This window comes from Homo sapiens, chromosome 2 (assembly GCF_000001405.40).
Source record: "Homo sapiens chromosome 2, GRCh38.p14 Primary Assembly".
NCBI lineage: Eukaryota > Metazoa > Chordata > Mammalia > Primates > Hominidae > Homo > Homo sapiens.
Window position 1 is genome coordinate 104,994,308 of NC_000002.12, and position 17,670 is coordinate 105,011,977.

The window sequence follows — 17,670 nt, forward strand, 5'->3', positions numbered from 1 at the left end:
AGGCATAGATCTCCATTACCATAAAGATTACAAATCACTGAAGACTCAGAAGACCTTTAGAATCTTTTATCAATAAAATATTTTTAAATTAAGGTATGTACTTTTCGTAGACATAACTCTATTGCATACTTAAAAGATGACAGTGTAGGGTAAACAACTTTTATATGCACTGAGAAACCAAAACATTTGTGTGACTTGCTTTATTGTGATATTTGCTTTACTGTGGTGGTCCAGAACTAAATTGACAACATCTTTGAGGTATGCTTGTATATGTGTGTGTGTGTGTGTGTGTGTGTAATGGATGTAATAGATCCATATATATGTAATGGATGTCTTAGTTCAAGCTGCTGTAATAAATTAACATGGACTGAGTGGCTTAAATAACAAACATTTATTTCTCATTGTTAGGGAGGCTGGGAAGTCCAAGACCAAGGTGGTGGCAGATCCAGTGTTTATTGAGGTCCCACTTTTTGGTTGTAGATGGCTGTATTCTTGTTGCAGCCTCACACAGTGGAGAGGAGAGAGAGGCAGAGGAAGTTCTCTGGCCTCTTCTCATAAGGGTACTAATCCCAGTTTCTAAGTGCTCCACCCTCATGACCTAACCACGTCCCAAAGGCCCTACCTTCTAATACTATCACATTAGGGATCAGGGTTCAACATGTGAATTTTGCAGGGGGTTGAGGACATAAAAATTCAGTCCATAACAATGTAATACTATTCAGCCTTTAAAAAAATGAAGAAAATCATACCATATGCGACAACATGGATGAATCTTGAGGACATTATCCTAAGTGAAATAAGCTAGCTACAGAAGGATATAGTATGATTCCACTTGAATGAGATATCTAAAACAGTAACGTTTCCACAGTAGTGGCTATTTTCACGCTGCTGATACATACCTGAGACTGGGAAGAATACATACCCGAGACTGGGAAAAAAAGAGGTTTAATTGGACTTACAGTTCCACATGGCTGGGGAGGCCTCAGAATCATGGTGGTAGGTGAAAGGCACTTCTTACAAGGCAGCAGCAAAAGAAAATGGGCAAGAAGCAAAAGCAGAAACCCCTGATAAATCCATCAGATATCATGAGACTTAATTCACTATCATGAGAATAGCATGAGAAAGACCATTCCTCATGGTTCAATTACCTCCCCCGGGTCCCTCCCACAACACATGGGAATTCTGGGAGATACAATTCAAGTTGAGATTTGGGTGGGGACACAGCCAAACCATATCAGTGGCATTGTTTTACATTCACAACAGTACACAAAGATTCCAATTTCTCCACATTCTCACCAATACTTATTATAATTTTAAAAATATATATAGTCAAACTCATAGAAACAGAATAATTTAAAATAATTTATAAAGTATTAAAAATAATTTAAGATAGTTTTAAAAATAATAATATTTTTAAAATGGTCATATTTCATCAAATATAACCACATGGGCTACTCAGGGTAAAAATTATCAACTGGAGTTGATAATTTCACAAAGCAAAGTAGCAGCCTCCAGCCTCCGAAGGCAATGCTTTCCCCATGACACCATATAGAGAGCAGACAGCTCAGAGCTCAGTCCCCAGTGAGCCCAGCGCATGTCTCCAGCTGAGGTAAGTGCTGCTGGTGAAGCCATGATCAGAAATACGGGTGTGCATTATGGAACATGGAAACTGGTAGAATGTATAAACTAAATGTTTAATAGTAAAAGAAAAATGTAAAGTACATAACTAAAAGATGAACTATAGATATAAACATAGACATGTTCTAACTGTGCAAAGTACAGTTATAACAATATCTATGATTTATAACACACCTACTATCTGCTAAGAAATGTACATACCTTATCACTAATTATTACCAACCACTTGCATAGTTGGGGCTATTGTCTTATGCACACAGAGACAGGGTCATAGAGGTTTGGAACTAAACAGTGGCCGTTACCAAATTGTTGTCATCTGACAGCAGTGCCCACATTTTTTTTCCTTTGCACCTTGATACCTTACAAAAAAAAAACCCACAAATAAGTAGCTTTATGTTTACTATACACAAAAATATTCCTGGGAAAAATGAGTATTGTGCATCTCAAGAACATAATGATACTTAAAAGAAAATGGATAAAGGTAATTCAGAAGTCTGTAGCATTCAATGCATTTTGTTCTTTATGCAGAATATTGAGAAAGCTCAAAAGAAGCCCTAAGAACAGTGGCCAGCAAGAGGAGATGTTCAAATACTTTCTCAACTCAGCTGGTAAGATTGTGGATATTTGAACAGGTCCCTTCTGAGATCACCATGAAATGTTACTACATTGTGGCCAAAACAGCAAGTGTCCTTGTTATATACTTCTCAACAATTTGCACAATTCTGTTCTATACTCAGAGATACAGACACAGACAATACTCAGCAAATTATGAAATCTAAACTGGATGGGTCAAGTTTCCATCACCAACTTATATCACATTCTATTGCTATTTCAGCAATAATGTTAGGAATATATATTAGCTACATGCCTAAATGCTGGCTTGCATGTATAATTTAAATATATATCATACTAAATAGTGTAATTGTGCAAAAGCCAAGAGGTATTCAGTAATTGGTGTTTTCCCCCTTCCTGAAACACAAAGAGGCTCATTCCATTCTCCAGTATGCAGGTGTAACACTGGAAAATGCCTTGAAAATTCCACCCATGCATTTGCCTGAGAAAAATAACTGATTTTTTAAGTTATAAAAATATGCTTTCTCTTCCATCTGAGTGGGTGGATAGATATGGGTAGAAATGTATCCTTTTCAGCTGACATGCTTATGCATTGAAACTTTGAAAACATTTCAACATAAACAGTCATAAATAGTTAGGCTAATTTAAATTTTGCCCCAAAATCTTTGTCATACTTGTTGTTTTGCATTGAACCTTCACTTGTACACATGAAAATTAGCTTAAGTTTATTTCAGTACATCTTGAACTTGTCTTTTCAAAGAGTTGCTTGCTGCAAAGTCAAGAACATCTCAAATATCTTCTTAAACTCTTAAGTGCAATGAATTCATGGCAATAAAGGACTTTTAAAGAACCTGGATGGGAGATGATAATCATACACACACACCTCCCCTACCCACATTGAGTGCCAGATAAACATGGAGTATTATGCAGCATCTGTATGCAGCATCTGTACACGGTAACTGCAGTTGAACTTGAACTTGAACTTCATCGTGTTCACTACTGCAAAATGGTCTCAGTAAACAGGTTGGGTTATTTACAGAAAGCCTATTTCAGTTCCCCTGAAGCCAAGTTAAACAGTCCTAGAATATGGTACTTATAAAGGGAAATTTAAAAGACCTATTTATTTCATATTGTTGACCAGAAAGAAAAGATATAAATGGCATTAATTGCCCATCTTTCTAGTCTTACTCGTCTGCTCCAAAGTGGCAGTGTCTCATTCTCTGAACATTCTTACTCTGCATGGGTGTGGGTGGTCAAAGAAGTGATGTTAATGCTGTCTCTTATAGACTGACATGGTGATTGCCAATCCCCTATTTCCTGTTCCTGGCTTATGCTCTTCGGGGTGTTGAGAAGAAGGTATTTAGGTTTCAAAGCATTATGGTCCATTACTAGAAGTAGGCACACGTTATTTGTAGCTCTTCTCATTTCCCCACCATTTAAATCTGGGATGCCTCATGACCTGCTTTGAATAAGAGAATGCAGGTTCTAATAACCCAAGCTTTCCCCTTTGTTGCTTCAGTACTAGAAGTGTTAGCTGCCTCCTGAAGTTACTATCTCTGGGTTAACTTGGTGATCACTTTTTTTTCTTTGCCCCAGAATCTGTTTAATCAATTTATTATATTAAATTTGCTGTGCTAAAATAACTGGTGGAGTTCTGTTTTCCCAAGTGGACTCTAATATGAAACTCACCATTCTCAGAAGGAAGAAACACATCCTGAAGGGCAAAATTAATAGTGCCTGAGGGCTGGTTGATGGAATTTCCCTGGACTTGGATTGATGGGAAGTTTCTAGAAGCAGGAAGGGTCATGCTGGATAAACCATCACATAGGCAGACAACAAGTGCAGCAGGATGTGCCCTGATGAAGTGGGAGGGAAGGAAGGAGGCTCAGCCCTATGAACCAGCTACGTTCATTGTCCAGGGAGAGGTCACATGTAAAAGAACACCACACAAAGCTCTCTGTTTTTTGTTGCTGCTTTTTGTTTTTTATTTTCATTTTTATTTCAATAGCTTTTGGCATACAGGTGGGTTTTTGGTTACATAAATGAATTATTTAGTGGTAAGTTTAGATTTTAGTGCACCCATCACCTGAGTAGTGCACACTGCACCTAATGTGTAGTTTTCTATCCCTGACTCCCCTGTCGCCTCCTCCTTCTGAGTCTCTAGAGCCCATTATATCACTGTCTGCACAAGCCTCTCTGTTGCAGGAATTCTTGCCAACCTGGAGCATGACCCTGCCTGCTCCCTGCTGTGTACCACCTATAGATAACTGGTCCAGGAAGATCTCATCTTATTTAAAGGAGAACAAAAGTCCAAAGGGAATGTGATATAAATTATATGGAGGTACATGCTATGTCCTAGGTGAGGAAAGAATAACATAAGAATCTATCTGAAATTAGCAAATAAACATGGAATGGAACAGGAAAATTAAGCAGGAGATAAAGAACTCTGAAGCAGAAAAATGTTGCTGCAGAGCAGATGAAAACTGTAACTAAACATTTTTAAATTAGTGATTATATAAAAAATGCATTTTATAATAATATGAAAAGGCAAAGGAAAGTAATATAAGTTCAAGAAGAGACAATATGAGCTGGCAGTTGTCAGAAATTAAATGGAGGGAAAATAAATGAAAACAAAATTGAAAGCAGCACTAAAGAGATTAGACACTGCTTCAAATACAGAGAATAGAAAATAAGACTATAGAAGGGGAGCAAAATGAGACGGAAATTAACAAGGAGATAAACGAATCAGATAAAGATGATAGATTTCATGTTACTAAAAAAATGGGGGAAAGGCTGGACATCATGGCTCACACTTGTAATCCCAGCACTTTGGGAGGCTAAGGTAGGTGGATCACTTGAAGTCAGAAGTTCAAGACCAGCCTGGCCAACATGATGAAACCCTATCTCTATTAAAAATACAAAAATTAGCCAAGTGTGGTAGCGCATGCCTGTAGTCCCAGCTACTCAGGAGACTGAGGTAGGAGAATCACTTGAACCCGAGAGATGGAGGTTGCAGTGAGCCAAGATCATGCCACTGCACTCCAGCCTGGGCAACAAAGTGAGGCTCCATCTCAAAAAAAAAAAAAAAAGAAAGAAATCAAAGACATAATTCAAGAAAACTTTAAACACTTTTTAAAAAGTCAATGAAATCTACAGGTTTAAAAGTTATACAATATCCCTCAAAAAACTAAAAGATTATCAACAAAGAGGCATCCTAGTAGAGTCACTGGACCTAAAAAGAAATAAAAAATATTTTTTGAATTTTTCTGGCAGAAAGGACCAGTCACCTTTAAGCAAAAGAACTTAGTTTCAACTTCTTCACAGCTTCTCTGGAATCGTTGTACTTTGGGACTCCTTGTTTTTGCAGGATAATATATTTTCATCTTTTCTGCGGCCTTGTTTTAGTTACTTGTTTATGTCCTGTGATGCAAAATGACCACATTTCTAAGAATAAATATCCAAAGAATAATAATAAGTAGCCAAAGTTCTTTAAAAATTAGCATATACAATCAAGCAGCATACTTTAAAATGTTGTAAAATAACTAAATTGGATGCCTTCTTGCATTAATAAGGTGCTTCAGCATTCAAAAACTGGAAACATAGTATGTTACATCGATAAATCAAAAATAAAAGCCAAATGGCTGGTGGTGATTGAGTTTTTTCAATAGATACAAAATATTTAATAGAATTCTGTATCCATTATAAAAATGTTTGGTAAAATAAAAATAAAAGAATATTTCTTAAATATTTTAAACACTATTTATCAGAAATTAGTAGTAAACTTTGTGTTAAATTCTAAAATTTAAAAGCGTTCTGACTAAAGCCAGGAACAAGATAAGTATGCTTACTGTCTGTATTACTAAGTACTATTTTGTACAGGCTACAGAATGGAGGAAATATAACAAATAAATGAGGAAAAAATTGAAGAAAAGACAACATTTACCTAAGATATGATTGAAACTGCAAAAATTTAAGAGCTATCACTTTTAAAACTCCATAAATATTTACAAATCAGTATTTTTTCTTCCCAACTACTCATAACTAGTTAGAAATGAAATAAAAAATATAACCTCATTCACAAAAATGGCAACTAAAAAAATTCAACTGCTGGGCATGGTGGCTCACGCCTGTAATCCCAACACTTCAGGAGGCTGAGGCAGGCAGATTGCCTGAGGTCAAGGGTTCGAGACCAGCCTGGCCAACATGGTGAAACCCTGTCTCTACTAAAAATAAAAAAAATTAGCTGGGCATGGTGGTGCATGCCTGTAATCCCAGCTACTCAGGAGGCTGAGGCAGGAGAATCACTTGAACCCAGGAGGCGGAGGTTGCAGTGAGTGGAGATCATGCCATTGCACTCCAGCCTGGGCAACAGAGCAAGACACCATCTCAAAAAAAAAAATCCACCAGAAAAAGGTATGTAAAGGTATAAAGAAAATTAAGCAAATGTACAAACAAGCATAAAATGAGGCCCCAAGTGAATGAGGAAAATACTACCCTCCTAGATAGGAAGGCTCAAATAGCATAAAGAAGTCTATCTTCCCAAAGCAATAGATAAACACGGTGTTTTTTCAATGAGAATATCAAAGGAACTTTGAAGGAATTTAATTGATTTTCAACTTCATCTGGAACAATAATGATTGTTGTCAATTGTCTGTTAATCTGAAACAACAATTATTGTTGTTAATTGCCCCAGGCTCCAGGCCAGCCCCCTTAACTCTAGGCACCAGTCTAATACCTGTGGACCCAAATCCAAACCAGCCCTTGCAGACCTAGACTTCATACTTGCCCCAACACCAGGCTAGTCCAAGGCTCCAGTGGGTCCTGGGTCCAGGGTCCAAGCCCATTCCAATAGACCCCAGCACCAGGCCAGTCTTCATGGACCAAAACTCCAAGAACATACTTGTAGATCCAGGCTGTATGCTGGCCTCCACAAACCAAGGACTAAGGCCCACCCCCAGCACTAGGCTGGCCCATGGACCCAAAAATCAGGCTAGTCCCTGCAGATATAGGCTCCAGGCCTGCCCTGATAGTCTTAGGTCCCACACCCACCCATATAGCCGTCTTATCCAGGCACGTCCCATCAGACCCTAGTTCGAAGCCCACCCCAGTGGACCCAGACTCCAGGCTCAACCCTGCAGACCCAGATGCCATGTCCTGTCCACACACCTGCTGACTCTGACACTGGGCCAGCCTGCCCAAGGACTCCAGTGGCAAGCCTGCTGAAGGATCACAGTAAGCAGCCTGTGTGAATCTCTGATGAAGGGCTTTCCCTGCCTAAGCCCGTCTGTAAAGACTGAAATAAGAGACTACTTCTTCAAATGTGCAGATACCAATGCATGGCCACAAGGATCACAAACAATCAGGGAAACATGACACCACCAAAGGAAAAACATAAAGCACAAGTAACCAAACCTAAAGAAATAGAGATTTATAAACTGCCTGACAAAGAATTCCAAATGGTCATCTTAAAGAAGCTCAGTGAGTTATAAGAGAGTTACAGGAAGACAATTAAACAAAATCAGGAAAACAATACATGGAACAAAATCAGAAGTTCAACAAAGAGGTGGAAACCATAAAAAAGAAACAAACAGAAATTCTGAAATGAAAAAAACACAATGACTGAACTAGAATGGTCCTGGGTTGGTACTGTAACCAGAAATCTGGCAAAAGCAAACACAAATCCTCTCTTAAGAAACGCACCTGTATCACAGATCCCAAGCAAATTCTCCTCCCTTCTCTCCCCTCAAAAATTCAAGGAAAATTAGCAATTCTCAATCAAAACAAAACAACAAAAACAAGCACCATAAGTGAGAGAGATCAACAACAATGGTTAGAAAAGTGAGGTATACGAATACTTATATATTTTTATGTATTTTTATAAATGGTATAGAATGAAGTACAGAGGCATAAAGAAGAGAAAACATTAAACAAGGGTTAAAAGATATGAAGTAGAGACTAAATATATATAGTCCACAATCTATGTAAAGAATTTTATAAAATACCTAAATGATATAATTAATAGAATTGAATTAATGTGTACACATTGAACTCTGTACTCAACAAACAGACATCCAAAGTCACAGAGGCCCTTTCCTGGGCACAATATTGAGGAGGCTACAAGCACTTGAGAGAACTCCAGCTTTGAGCCCATTGCCATCCAACAAAAGATAGGCCATAGCATATAGCAAAGGCTGAAGGTAGAAAGGTAGGCAAGTAAGCCTGCAGCATTGCTAGAAAACAGCAAGAAAAAAAGAAAGTCAGGAAGAATAAGGGCTTATATCCACACCAGAAAGGCAGAAAGCCTAAACGGGTTGTTTAAAACATTGGATTAGACTGAGGCTACTGGGGTTTTTTTATTTTCATTACTTTTAACAAATAAACATGAGAACTATCAAATTTCAATTAGGCTTAAAGGGAAATGACAGACTAAGAGGCTTGGTCTTTTATTATAAGAGAATTTAAGACATATATTTACTAATAAATTGGAGGGTATGGGTTAAAAGTTTTTCATCATAAGCAATCAGTACAAATAGTACTTTCAAACAGTATTATTAATTTACAATATGCAGGCTTCGTTTGCTTTAGAAAGTATATGATTAAAATTAACATCTAATTATAATGAAAAATAAGAAGTCTTATAAAACCAAAAACAGGGTTCTACCTCCTAGACATGAGAAAGAATATCTAACTCAAAACAATGCCAACATCACAAACCATCCAGAGATTACCACTTTCACAAACCACCCAAGAGATTACCATTAAATAAAGAATAGGTCTACAATGGCTGCTATCTGTAGATTATTTACACTCTTCTGAGAGTAAAGCAAAGAAAATACACTAAACAACTCTACCAAATGAATGTATAGATCATGAAAATTTAAAAGAAATTGAGCAGAACTGGTAAATTTTACCTTTGTCTTTGAGGTTCTTCGATTTTACTATACTGTATTTAAATGTAAGATTTTATTATCTATCCTGTGAACTCTTTCAACCTGAGGTCTTTGAACTCTTCTCTCTGAAGTCTTTCATGTTTCCTTCATTCTTGGAAATAGTTTACCATGTTCTAGTTAATACTATGCAAGTATATATATATAAAACAAAACAAAACAAAAAAAACCCAGCAGGGCAGGGTGGCTCACACCTGTAATCCCAACATTTTGGGATGCTGAAGTGTGAGGCTTGCTTGAGGCCAAGAGTTTGAGACAAGCCTGGGTAACATAGGAAGACCTCATCTCTGCAAAAGATTTAAAAATTTAGCCTGTCACAGTGGCAGTGCCTGTAGTCGCAGCTACTTAGGAGGCTGAGGAAGGAGGATTGCTTGAGTCCAGGAATTTGAGGCTGCAGTGAGCTATGATCTCACCACCACACTCCAGCCTGGGCAACAGAGAGAGACCCAGTCTCTAAAAAAAAGAAGGAAAGAAACACAGTAGAGATACTGCTTACAAACTGTAATTACTGAAATAAAGAACTTGGGTTGATGGTATGCACATTAGAATGGATTCCACAGAATGAAGATTTTATGAGCAGAAGAGCAAGTCAAAGAATCTTTCCAGAAAGCATCGGGGGTAATAAGTCGACTTCCAGGTAATAGGAGTGTCAAAAGGAGAGGGGAAAACAAACAGAGGGGAGAAAATACTTGAAAAAAATTCATAATGACTTAAAATTCCTAAAACTTTCAGAGAGAAAAAGCAAATTACAGACAACAGACCAAAAGACATCAGGCTTCTCAACAATATTATTGGCACCAAGAAGACATCAGCGAGACTTGTTTTTTTGTTTGGTTGGTTATTTTTGTTTTTGTTTTAAGCAAGATCTGGCTCAATTGCCCAGGCTGGAGTACAGTGGTGTGTTCATGGCTCACTACAGCCACAACCTCCCAGCCTCAACCAACCCTCCCACCTCAGCCCCCTTGAGTAGCTGGGTTTACAAGCGAGTGCCATTACACCCAGTTAATTTTTTTAATTTTTTGTAGAGACAGGTGTCTCACTATGTTGCCCAGACTGGTCTTGAACTCCTGGGCTCAGGTGATCCTCATGGCCCCACCTCCCAAAGTGCTACAATTACAGACATGAGCCACTGCACCCGGCCCAGCAGTGAAACTTTAAAGAGACCCAAAGAGGCTGGCTAAATGGGTCTGCATAAAACATGGGGAGGAATTTCTTCTTGCTTCTGAGATATAGATAGATCAAACAGATGAAAGAAATGGGGAGAGAAGGTAGTGTTGGAGAGTGAGAAGGTCTGAGGGTGGAGACTTTATGTGGTGAGATACACCCACAAGAAATTTCCCAGTGGTGAAGTAGCCAAAGGAGATTTAAGTATAAAAAAAATTCAAAACTTAATTTAAGGTGATTTATATTGCTACAACATAAACTACTTTCTCATGCTCCCACAAACCTCAGAAACTGATAGTAAAATATTTTGTGCTCCTGAATACTTTCTATGAGTATGTGTAAGAGTGTGTGTGTGTTTGTGTGTGCATAAAATTCATGGAAGGGGTTGAGTGTAACAACTAGGCTGATGTGTCTGGACTAGACGCAGTCTCACCAAAATGAGGAACCTGGAGGCAGAGACAACGGAAAGGATGAAAGCCCAGCATTTGTAGAAATCTTGGGAGGGAGAGGTTAGACTTCCACAGAGTTTTGAGCCAAGCCCATCTGGATAAGCCAGGACCTGGAAAACTTCATTCCAGCTGACACCTGGGTTACAAAGTACTTCCACCTCCAGAACAAAAACATTCTCTCCAGGATGCCTCCTGCACCTTGGGTTCTTTGTGTATGAACTCTCTGACAAATATGCCTCCCTTTCTTCTGGGTTCTCAGACCTCCCCCTCTGCTGCCTTGTATTCAGCCTTTCACCTCCATTAGCATGCCTTGATGCTTTTTCATTGTCAAATCCAACATAAGCTTCCCAAGTACATCTCTTCTGATTTCCCCAGGCCACTGACTCATGGGGTCACCCCCACTACTCTCACAGTTTCATGGTAAGTATACAACACTACCCTGAACTTGAGGCGCCTGAACATCATCAGCAAACTCATGTGCTTGAAAGGAAGGAGCATTTTATTGTAACATTCACTTCATTTCAAACTTTTCAAACTTTTTATGTTATGTTTAGTAACTGTTTTAGATTTTGCAAGCCATACGGCCTCTGTTGCAACTATTCAGCTCTGCCATTACAGCAAGAAAGCAGCATAGATGATATGTAAACAAATGGGCAGAGCTGTGTGCCAGCAACATTTTATTTACAAAAGGCAGTGAGCAGGATGAAGCACACAGGCCTTAGTTTGCCAAAGCCTAATCTAAATAAGCACTTGCCAAGATGAATCTGACTCCCCTAGGTGATTAAGTACAGGTAAGGCCTGTGGGCAGCTGGATCTGGGTAATGTTGACATAACATTCCTGTGAGTGTCCAAATCTCTCCTCAAACTTTTTAAAGATTTTGAGATTTCTTAAAGTGGATTTTAGCTCTAGACTTCTGCTCTGGCCTGGGCTGCCTCTGGTCCATACTTGGTCTACTCTGATTTATGCACGTAAGCTGTGCACTGATTTACACACTTCCTAAACCCCTTTACTACATTTTGGTGAGTGTCTTAGTTGGCTTGGGCTACCCTAACAAAGCACTACAGACTGGGTGGTTTAAGCAGCAGAAAATTATTTCCTCACAATTCTGAAGAATGGAAGTCCACCATCAAGGTGTCAGCAGGGTGGGTTTCTCTGGAGGCCTCTCTCCTTGGCTTGCAGACAGCCACCTTCTCCCTATATCTTCATGAGCGTGTCCTGCTGTGCATGTCCGTGCCCTAATCTCCTCTTCTTATAAGGACAGCAATCATATTGGACTATAGCCCACCCTCATGACCCTATTTTAATCAACTACCTCTTTAAAGACCCTGTCTCCAAATACATTCACATTCTGAGGTACCGGGAGCTAGGATGTCTGTTCAGTACAAATTTGAGAAGAATGCAATTCAGCCCATAACAGTGAGAATTTAAACTTTTATAAAGAGCATGGTTATAGGAAAGAGTTGCCATGCATACCACGAAACAAAACTTTAAAAATTGCTGTTAGCTGTTCTTATTGTTAAAAGCCTTTTTGTACCTGCCACTGTAGTCTCTAATCAGTCTCTATATCCCAAGAAGTATCCAGAGTCCCACCACTTAACCAGCATCCCTCTAATACACCCCTTTTATCAAATCTTTACCTCTGTCCCTCTGGATTGCAGTCACACAGTGTCAGTTTGCTTTAAGACTGAGGTTAAGCACTCAATCAATCCATAATGTCTATGTGATGAAGACCCAATAAAAACTCCGGACACTGAAGCTTGGGGGAGTGTTCATGGTTGGCAATCTTCTATGAACGTTATCACACATTGATGGTGGAGGATGAATGCATCCTGACTACACACAGAGAAGGCAACAGAAGCTCCACATTCCACTTCCTCCTGGACTCTGCCTGGCGTGCTTCTTCCTGGCTGATTTTTATCTATACCCTTTCCCTGTAATAAACTGTAACCATGAGTATAACAGCCTTTTAGTGAGTTTTGTGAATCTCTCTAAGAAATTATTGAACCTGAGAGTGCTATTAGGGACCCTTTTAAATTTGCAATTGATGTCAGACGTGAGGGAGAGCTTGTGTGGACTAAGTTTTTTTGTGTGTAATACCGCTCATATTTCCTTGAGACCCAGCTCAAAAAGAATTTGTTCCAAGTTCTTCAAAAGAAGGCACACAAAATAATGAGAGGGATACCATCAGAAACTGAGATGCAAAACCTTACTGGTACCTCTGAGAGGAGAAGAGAGCCTGCTAACTTCTCTAACCCTCTAACTTCAGAAACAGATTCATCAGTTGCCATGCAACTAGACACTGCAATGCAAAGTAGAACCAATATACAACCCTGAAAGCAAAGTTATTTCTTTCAGAAAATCAATAAGATTGATAAATCACTAGCTAGACTGATCAGGACAAAAAAGAGAAGACAAAAAATCAGTATCAGGAAGGAGAAAGGTGACAATTAATACAGACTCTAAAGGTAGGGAATGATATTAGGTTGGTGCAAAAGTTATTGCGGTTTTTGCCATTACCTTCAATTTAAACTTTGAGCCAATGAATTTGCTAACTTATAGAAAACAGACTGATTTTTGAAAGACATAAACTACAAAAACTCACTCTAGATTTACAAGCTTGTCCAACCTACCTTATTTTTGTAGTTGTTGTCTTTCTGTTTTGTTTTGTTTTGTTTTAGGCTTTTAGCAGCCTGAAGCCATGGTTTTTAGTTTTTGTCTCTAGTGATAAGTGGAAAACAAGGATGAGGAAGGGGCTTCACTGGCCCAACCAGAAACAGAAACTAAGAACCCATGACTATATTCTGTCCCTTGGACATCCCTGCAAAAAAAAGAGATAACCTGAATATCTCTTTATCTATTAAATAAATTACATTTGTAGTGAAAACTCCAGACCCACAGGGCTTCAATGATAATATCCCAAACATTTAAGGACAAAAGTCACCAACTCTAAACAAATTCTTCCAAAAAATTGAAGAGAAAGGAATATTTCTCAATTCATTCTATGAGGCCAGAATCACCCAAATACCAAAACCAGAAAAAGACATTGAAAAAAAAAAACAAACCCTAAAGACCAATATATGCTTTATGATCACAGATTTAAAACTCTTTATACATTTTTAGAAAATCAAATACAACTCTCTCTCTCTCTCTCTCTCAACTAGAGTTCATTCCAAGAAAGCAAGGTTGGTTGAACGTTAAAATCAACCAATAATTCACCAAATTATCCATCTAGAAAGGAAAACTATATTAATATCTCCACAGATTCAGGAAAAGCAATTAAAGAATCCAACATCTATTTCAGATAAATTACAAACTAAAAATAGAAAGAAATGTTCTCAGGCTGATACAATAAGTCTTTGAAAAGTCTCTAGCTAACATTATGAAAGATTGAATGCTTTCACTATAATATCGTAAGCAAGGCAAGACCGTTCACTATCTTCTATTTAACAACATACTGGAGGTTCTAACTGATGCGTAAGTAAAGAAAAAAAAAGACATCCATATTTCAAAGGAAGAATTAAAATTGTTTTTATTCTCAGATGGCATGATCAGATATATAGCTAAGCAGGTGGAATCTACAAAATAGCTTCTAGGATTAATATGTAAGTTTAGCAAGATTGCACCATACAAGATAGATAAACAAAATCAGTTGTAGTTCTACATAATAGCAATGAACAATCATAAATTGAAATTAAAAATAGAAATACCATTTACAATGGCATAAAAAATATAAAATACGGGAGGCAGAGGTGGGCAGATCATGGGGTCAGGAGACCGAGACCATCCTGGCTAACACAGTGAAACCTCGTCTTTACTAAAAATACAAAAACTTAGCTGGGTGTGGTGGTGGGTGCCTGTAGTCCCAGCTACTGGGGAGGCTGAGGCAGGAGAATGGCGCGAACCCAGGAGGCGGAGCTTGCAGTGAGCCAAGATTGCGCCACTGCACTCCAGCCTGGGCGACAGAGCGAAACTCCGTCTCACAAAAAAAAAAAAAAAGGAAGAAAATATATATGTATTTATATGTATATATGTATTTATATATATATATATATATATATATATATATATATATATATATATATATATATATATAAAATACTTGGGAATAATTTGACAAAATATTTCCAAGGCCACTATACTTAATACTACAAAGCATTGCTGATAAAAATGAAAGAATACCTAAACAAATGAAAAAATATATCTTGCTCATAGATAAGAGTTAATATAGTTAAAATATAGAGTCTTCAAACTGGTATGCAAAATCAATGAAATTCCAGTCAAAATTCAACTGCCTTTTTTTATAGAAATTGAAAAAGCTCATTTTAAACTTTATATGGAGGTGCATGGGACCTAGAAGAATCAAAATGATGCTGAAAAAGAATAACAAAGATGAATAACTCAAATATCTGTGTGTAAGCTTTACAATAAAGCTACAATAATCAAAACAGTGTGGTATTGGTGTAAAACTGGACAAACTGATCAATGGGATAGATTCTAGAATATAGACTAACATATGTATGGTAAATTTATTTTCAACAATAGTGCTAAGTTAATTCAGCAGGAAAAGGATAATCTATTCACCAAATAGTTGTTAGAACAATTGGATAGCCATATACAAAAAATAACCATAACCTTTCCTTCACATTTCCATCATATAAAAAATTAGCTTTATTCTGCTGAGCAGTCAAGGGAGGAAAAGAATTAACTTGAAATGGATCATATATGTAAATATAAGAGCAAAAACTTAAAAATATCCAGAATAGAATACAAAACAAAACCATAGTAACCTTGGATTCAGCAAAGAGTTATTTTTGTTGCTGTGTTTCCTTTCTTTCTTTTTTTAGATATGGGGTCTTGCTGTGTTCTGTAGGCTGGGCTTGAACTCCTGGCCTCAAGTGATCCTCCCCACTCGGCCTCCCAAGTAGCTGCAGACTACAGGCACATGTCACCATACCCAGCTAGAATTTGTAAATATGACACAAAATGTATAAACTATAAAAAGAAAAATGAGAACAAGTGGATTTCATCAAAATTTAAAACTTTTGCCCTACAAAAGACAATGTTAAGAAAATTAAAAGGCAAGCCACATACTAGAAGAAATTATTTGAAAAAAGTGTCTTACAAAGAACTTCTATATGGAATACATAAAAAGCTTATGATTCAAAAATAAGAAGACAAACCATGTTTTTAATGGGCAAAAGATTTAAACAGATACTTAGCCAAATAAGGTATACAGATGGTAAATAAGCACATGAAAGGATGTTCAACCTAGTTATCAGGGAATTACTAATTTAAACAATAAGACACCCCTACACACCCACTAGAATGGCTAAAAGTGAAAAGATTGAGTACATCAAATGTTGGCAAGGATCTAGGGCAACTCTCACACACTGCTGTTAGGAATGTAAAATGTCACAATTACTTTGGAAAACAGTTCAACAGTTTCTTAAAAGGTTAAGCATACATTTGCCATATGACCCAGCCATTCCACTCTTAGGTACTTATCTAATTAGGAGTAATGAAAGCTCATGTCTACACAAAAACTTGTACACAAATGTTCTTAGTAGCTTTATTGATAATAACCACAAGCTGGGAACAACCCAAGTGCCCATTAACTATTAAATGGATAAACCAAATGTGGTTAATCCATGCCAAGTAATACTACTCAGTAATAAAAACAAAAAAACTATTGATACAAAAGAATACAGATTAATTTTGAAACAATTGTCTGAGCTAAAGCAACCAGATACCCTCCCTGCCACCACCAAAAATGAGTATGTACCACATAATTTCATTTATATAAAATTTTAGAAAAGGCAAACTAATCCACAGTGAGAGAAAGCAGCCCAGTGATTGCCTGGGATCAGGGCTGGATGGAGGGATTACAAAGGGGTATGAGGAAATTTGGGGGCATGATGGACATATTCATTATCATAATTGTGGTGAGGGTTTCACAGGTGTATTGCATATGTCAACATTTATCAAATCTACACTTTAAACATCTGTAGTTTATGTATGTCAACTATACCTGAATTAACTTATAAAAAAGAACTATGAATTAGTCACTGACGTCAGGTAAAAATGAAAATAAATACGTGTGTCACACACAAAAATAAAAAATATTATAGCTCATTGTCATGGATAATGAAGGAGACTAATTCTGCCTGTGAAAACTTCACGCCCTGCAGGACAGGAGCTCTGTGAGAGAGCAACTAGTGGTCTGGAAGACTGGAGGAAGCCAGAGCCCAGTGAGTGTATTAGAGAAATTCAAAAAAAAAGAGGTCAGTTCAAGGAGGAGAAGGGACACCTCCTCTGAGAATTAGGGAAGACCTTGAGGAAGAAGCAAGATTTTTAATTTTTTTTTTTTAATTTTCATAGGGTTTTGGGGAACAGGTCGTATTTGGTTACATCAGTAAGTTCTTTAGTGGTGATTTGTGAGATTTTGGCCTACCCATCTCCTGAGCAGTATACACTGAACCCAATTTATAGTCTTTTATCCCCAGAGTCAATTGTGTCATTCTTAGGTCTTCACATCCTCATAACTTAGCTCTCACTTATAAGTGAGAACATACGATGTTTGGTTTTCCATTCCTGAGTTATTTAACTCAGAATAATAGTCTCCAATCTCATCCAGGTTGCTGTGAATGGCATAATTCATACCTTTTTATGGCTGAGTAGTATTCCATCATATTTATATACCACAGTTTATCCACTTGTTGACTGATGGGCATTTGGGTAGGTTCCACATTTTTACAATTGTAAATTGTGCTGCTATATACATGAGTGAGCAAGTATCGTTTTCGTATAATGACTTATTTTCCTCTGGATAGACACCCAGTAGTGGGATTGCTGGATCAAATGGTAGCTCTGCTTTCAGTTCTTTAAGGAATCTCCATAC

The 17,670-nt window shown here is 37.6% G+C and overlaps 1 long non-coding RNA gene across 1 annotated transcript in view, besides 2 other annotated features; it reads right to left on the bottom strand.

The window, feature by feature from the left end:
• The window catches only part of MRPS9-AS2 (MRPS9 antisense RNA 2), a 102,256-nt gene that overhangs the window by 58,067 nt on the left and 26,519 nt on the right, over positions 1–17,670 (bottom strand). The gene's annotated exons all lie outside the window — the stretch shown is intronic.
• Positions 10,712–11,332: an enhancer, noted in NCBI's record as "OCT4-NANOG hESC enhancer chr2:105621477-105622097 (GRCh37/hg19 assembly coordinates)". NCBI's record gives its function as "activates a minimal SCP1, AML or CMV promoter by ChIP-STARR-seq in naive H9 embryonic stem cells {active_cell/tissue: H9 hESC(naive)}" and the evidence as "EXISTENCE:reporter gene assay evidence [ECO:0000049][PMID:30033119]".
• Positions 10,804–11,098: a silencer, noted in NCBI's record as "tiled region #856; HepG2 Repressive non-DNase unmatched - State 24:Quies". NCBI's record gives its function as "represses a minimal TATA promoter and a strong SV40 promoter by Sharpr-MPRA in HepG2 cells {active_cell/tissue: HepG2}" and the evidence as "EXISTENCE:reporter gene assay evidence [ECO:0000049][PMID:27701403]".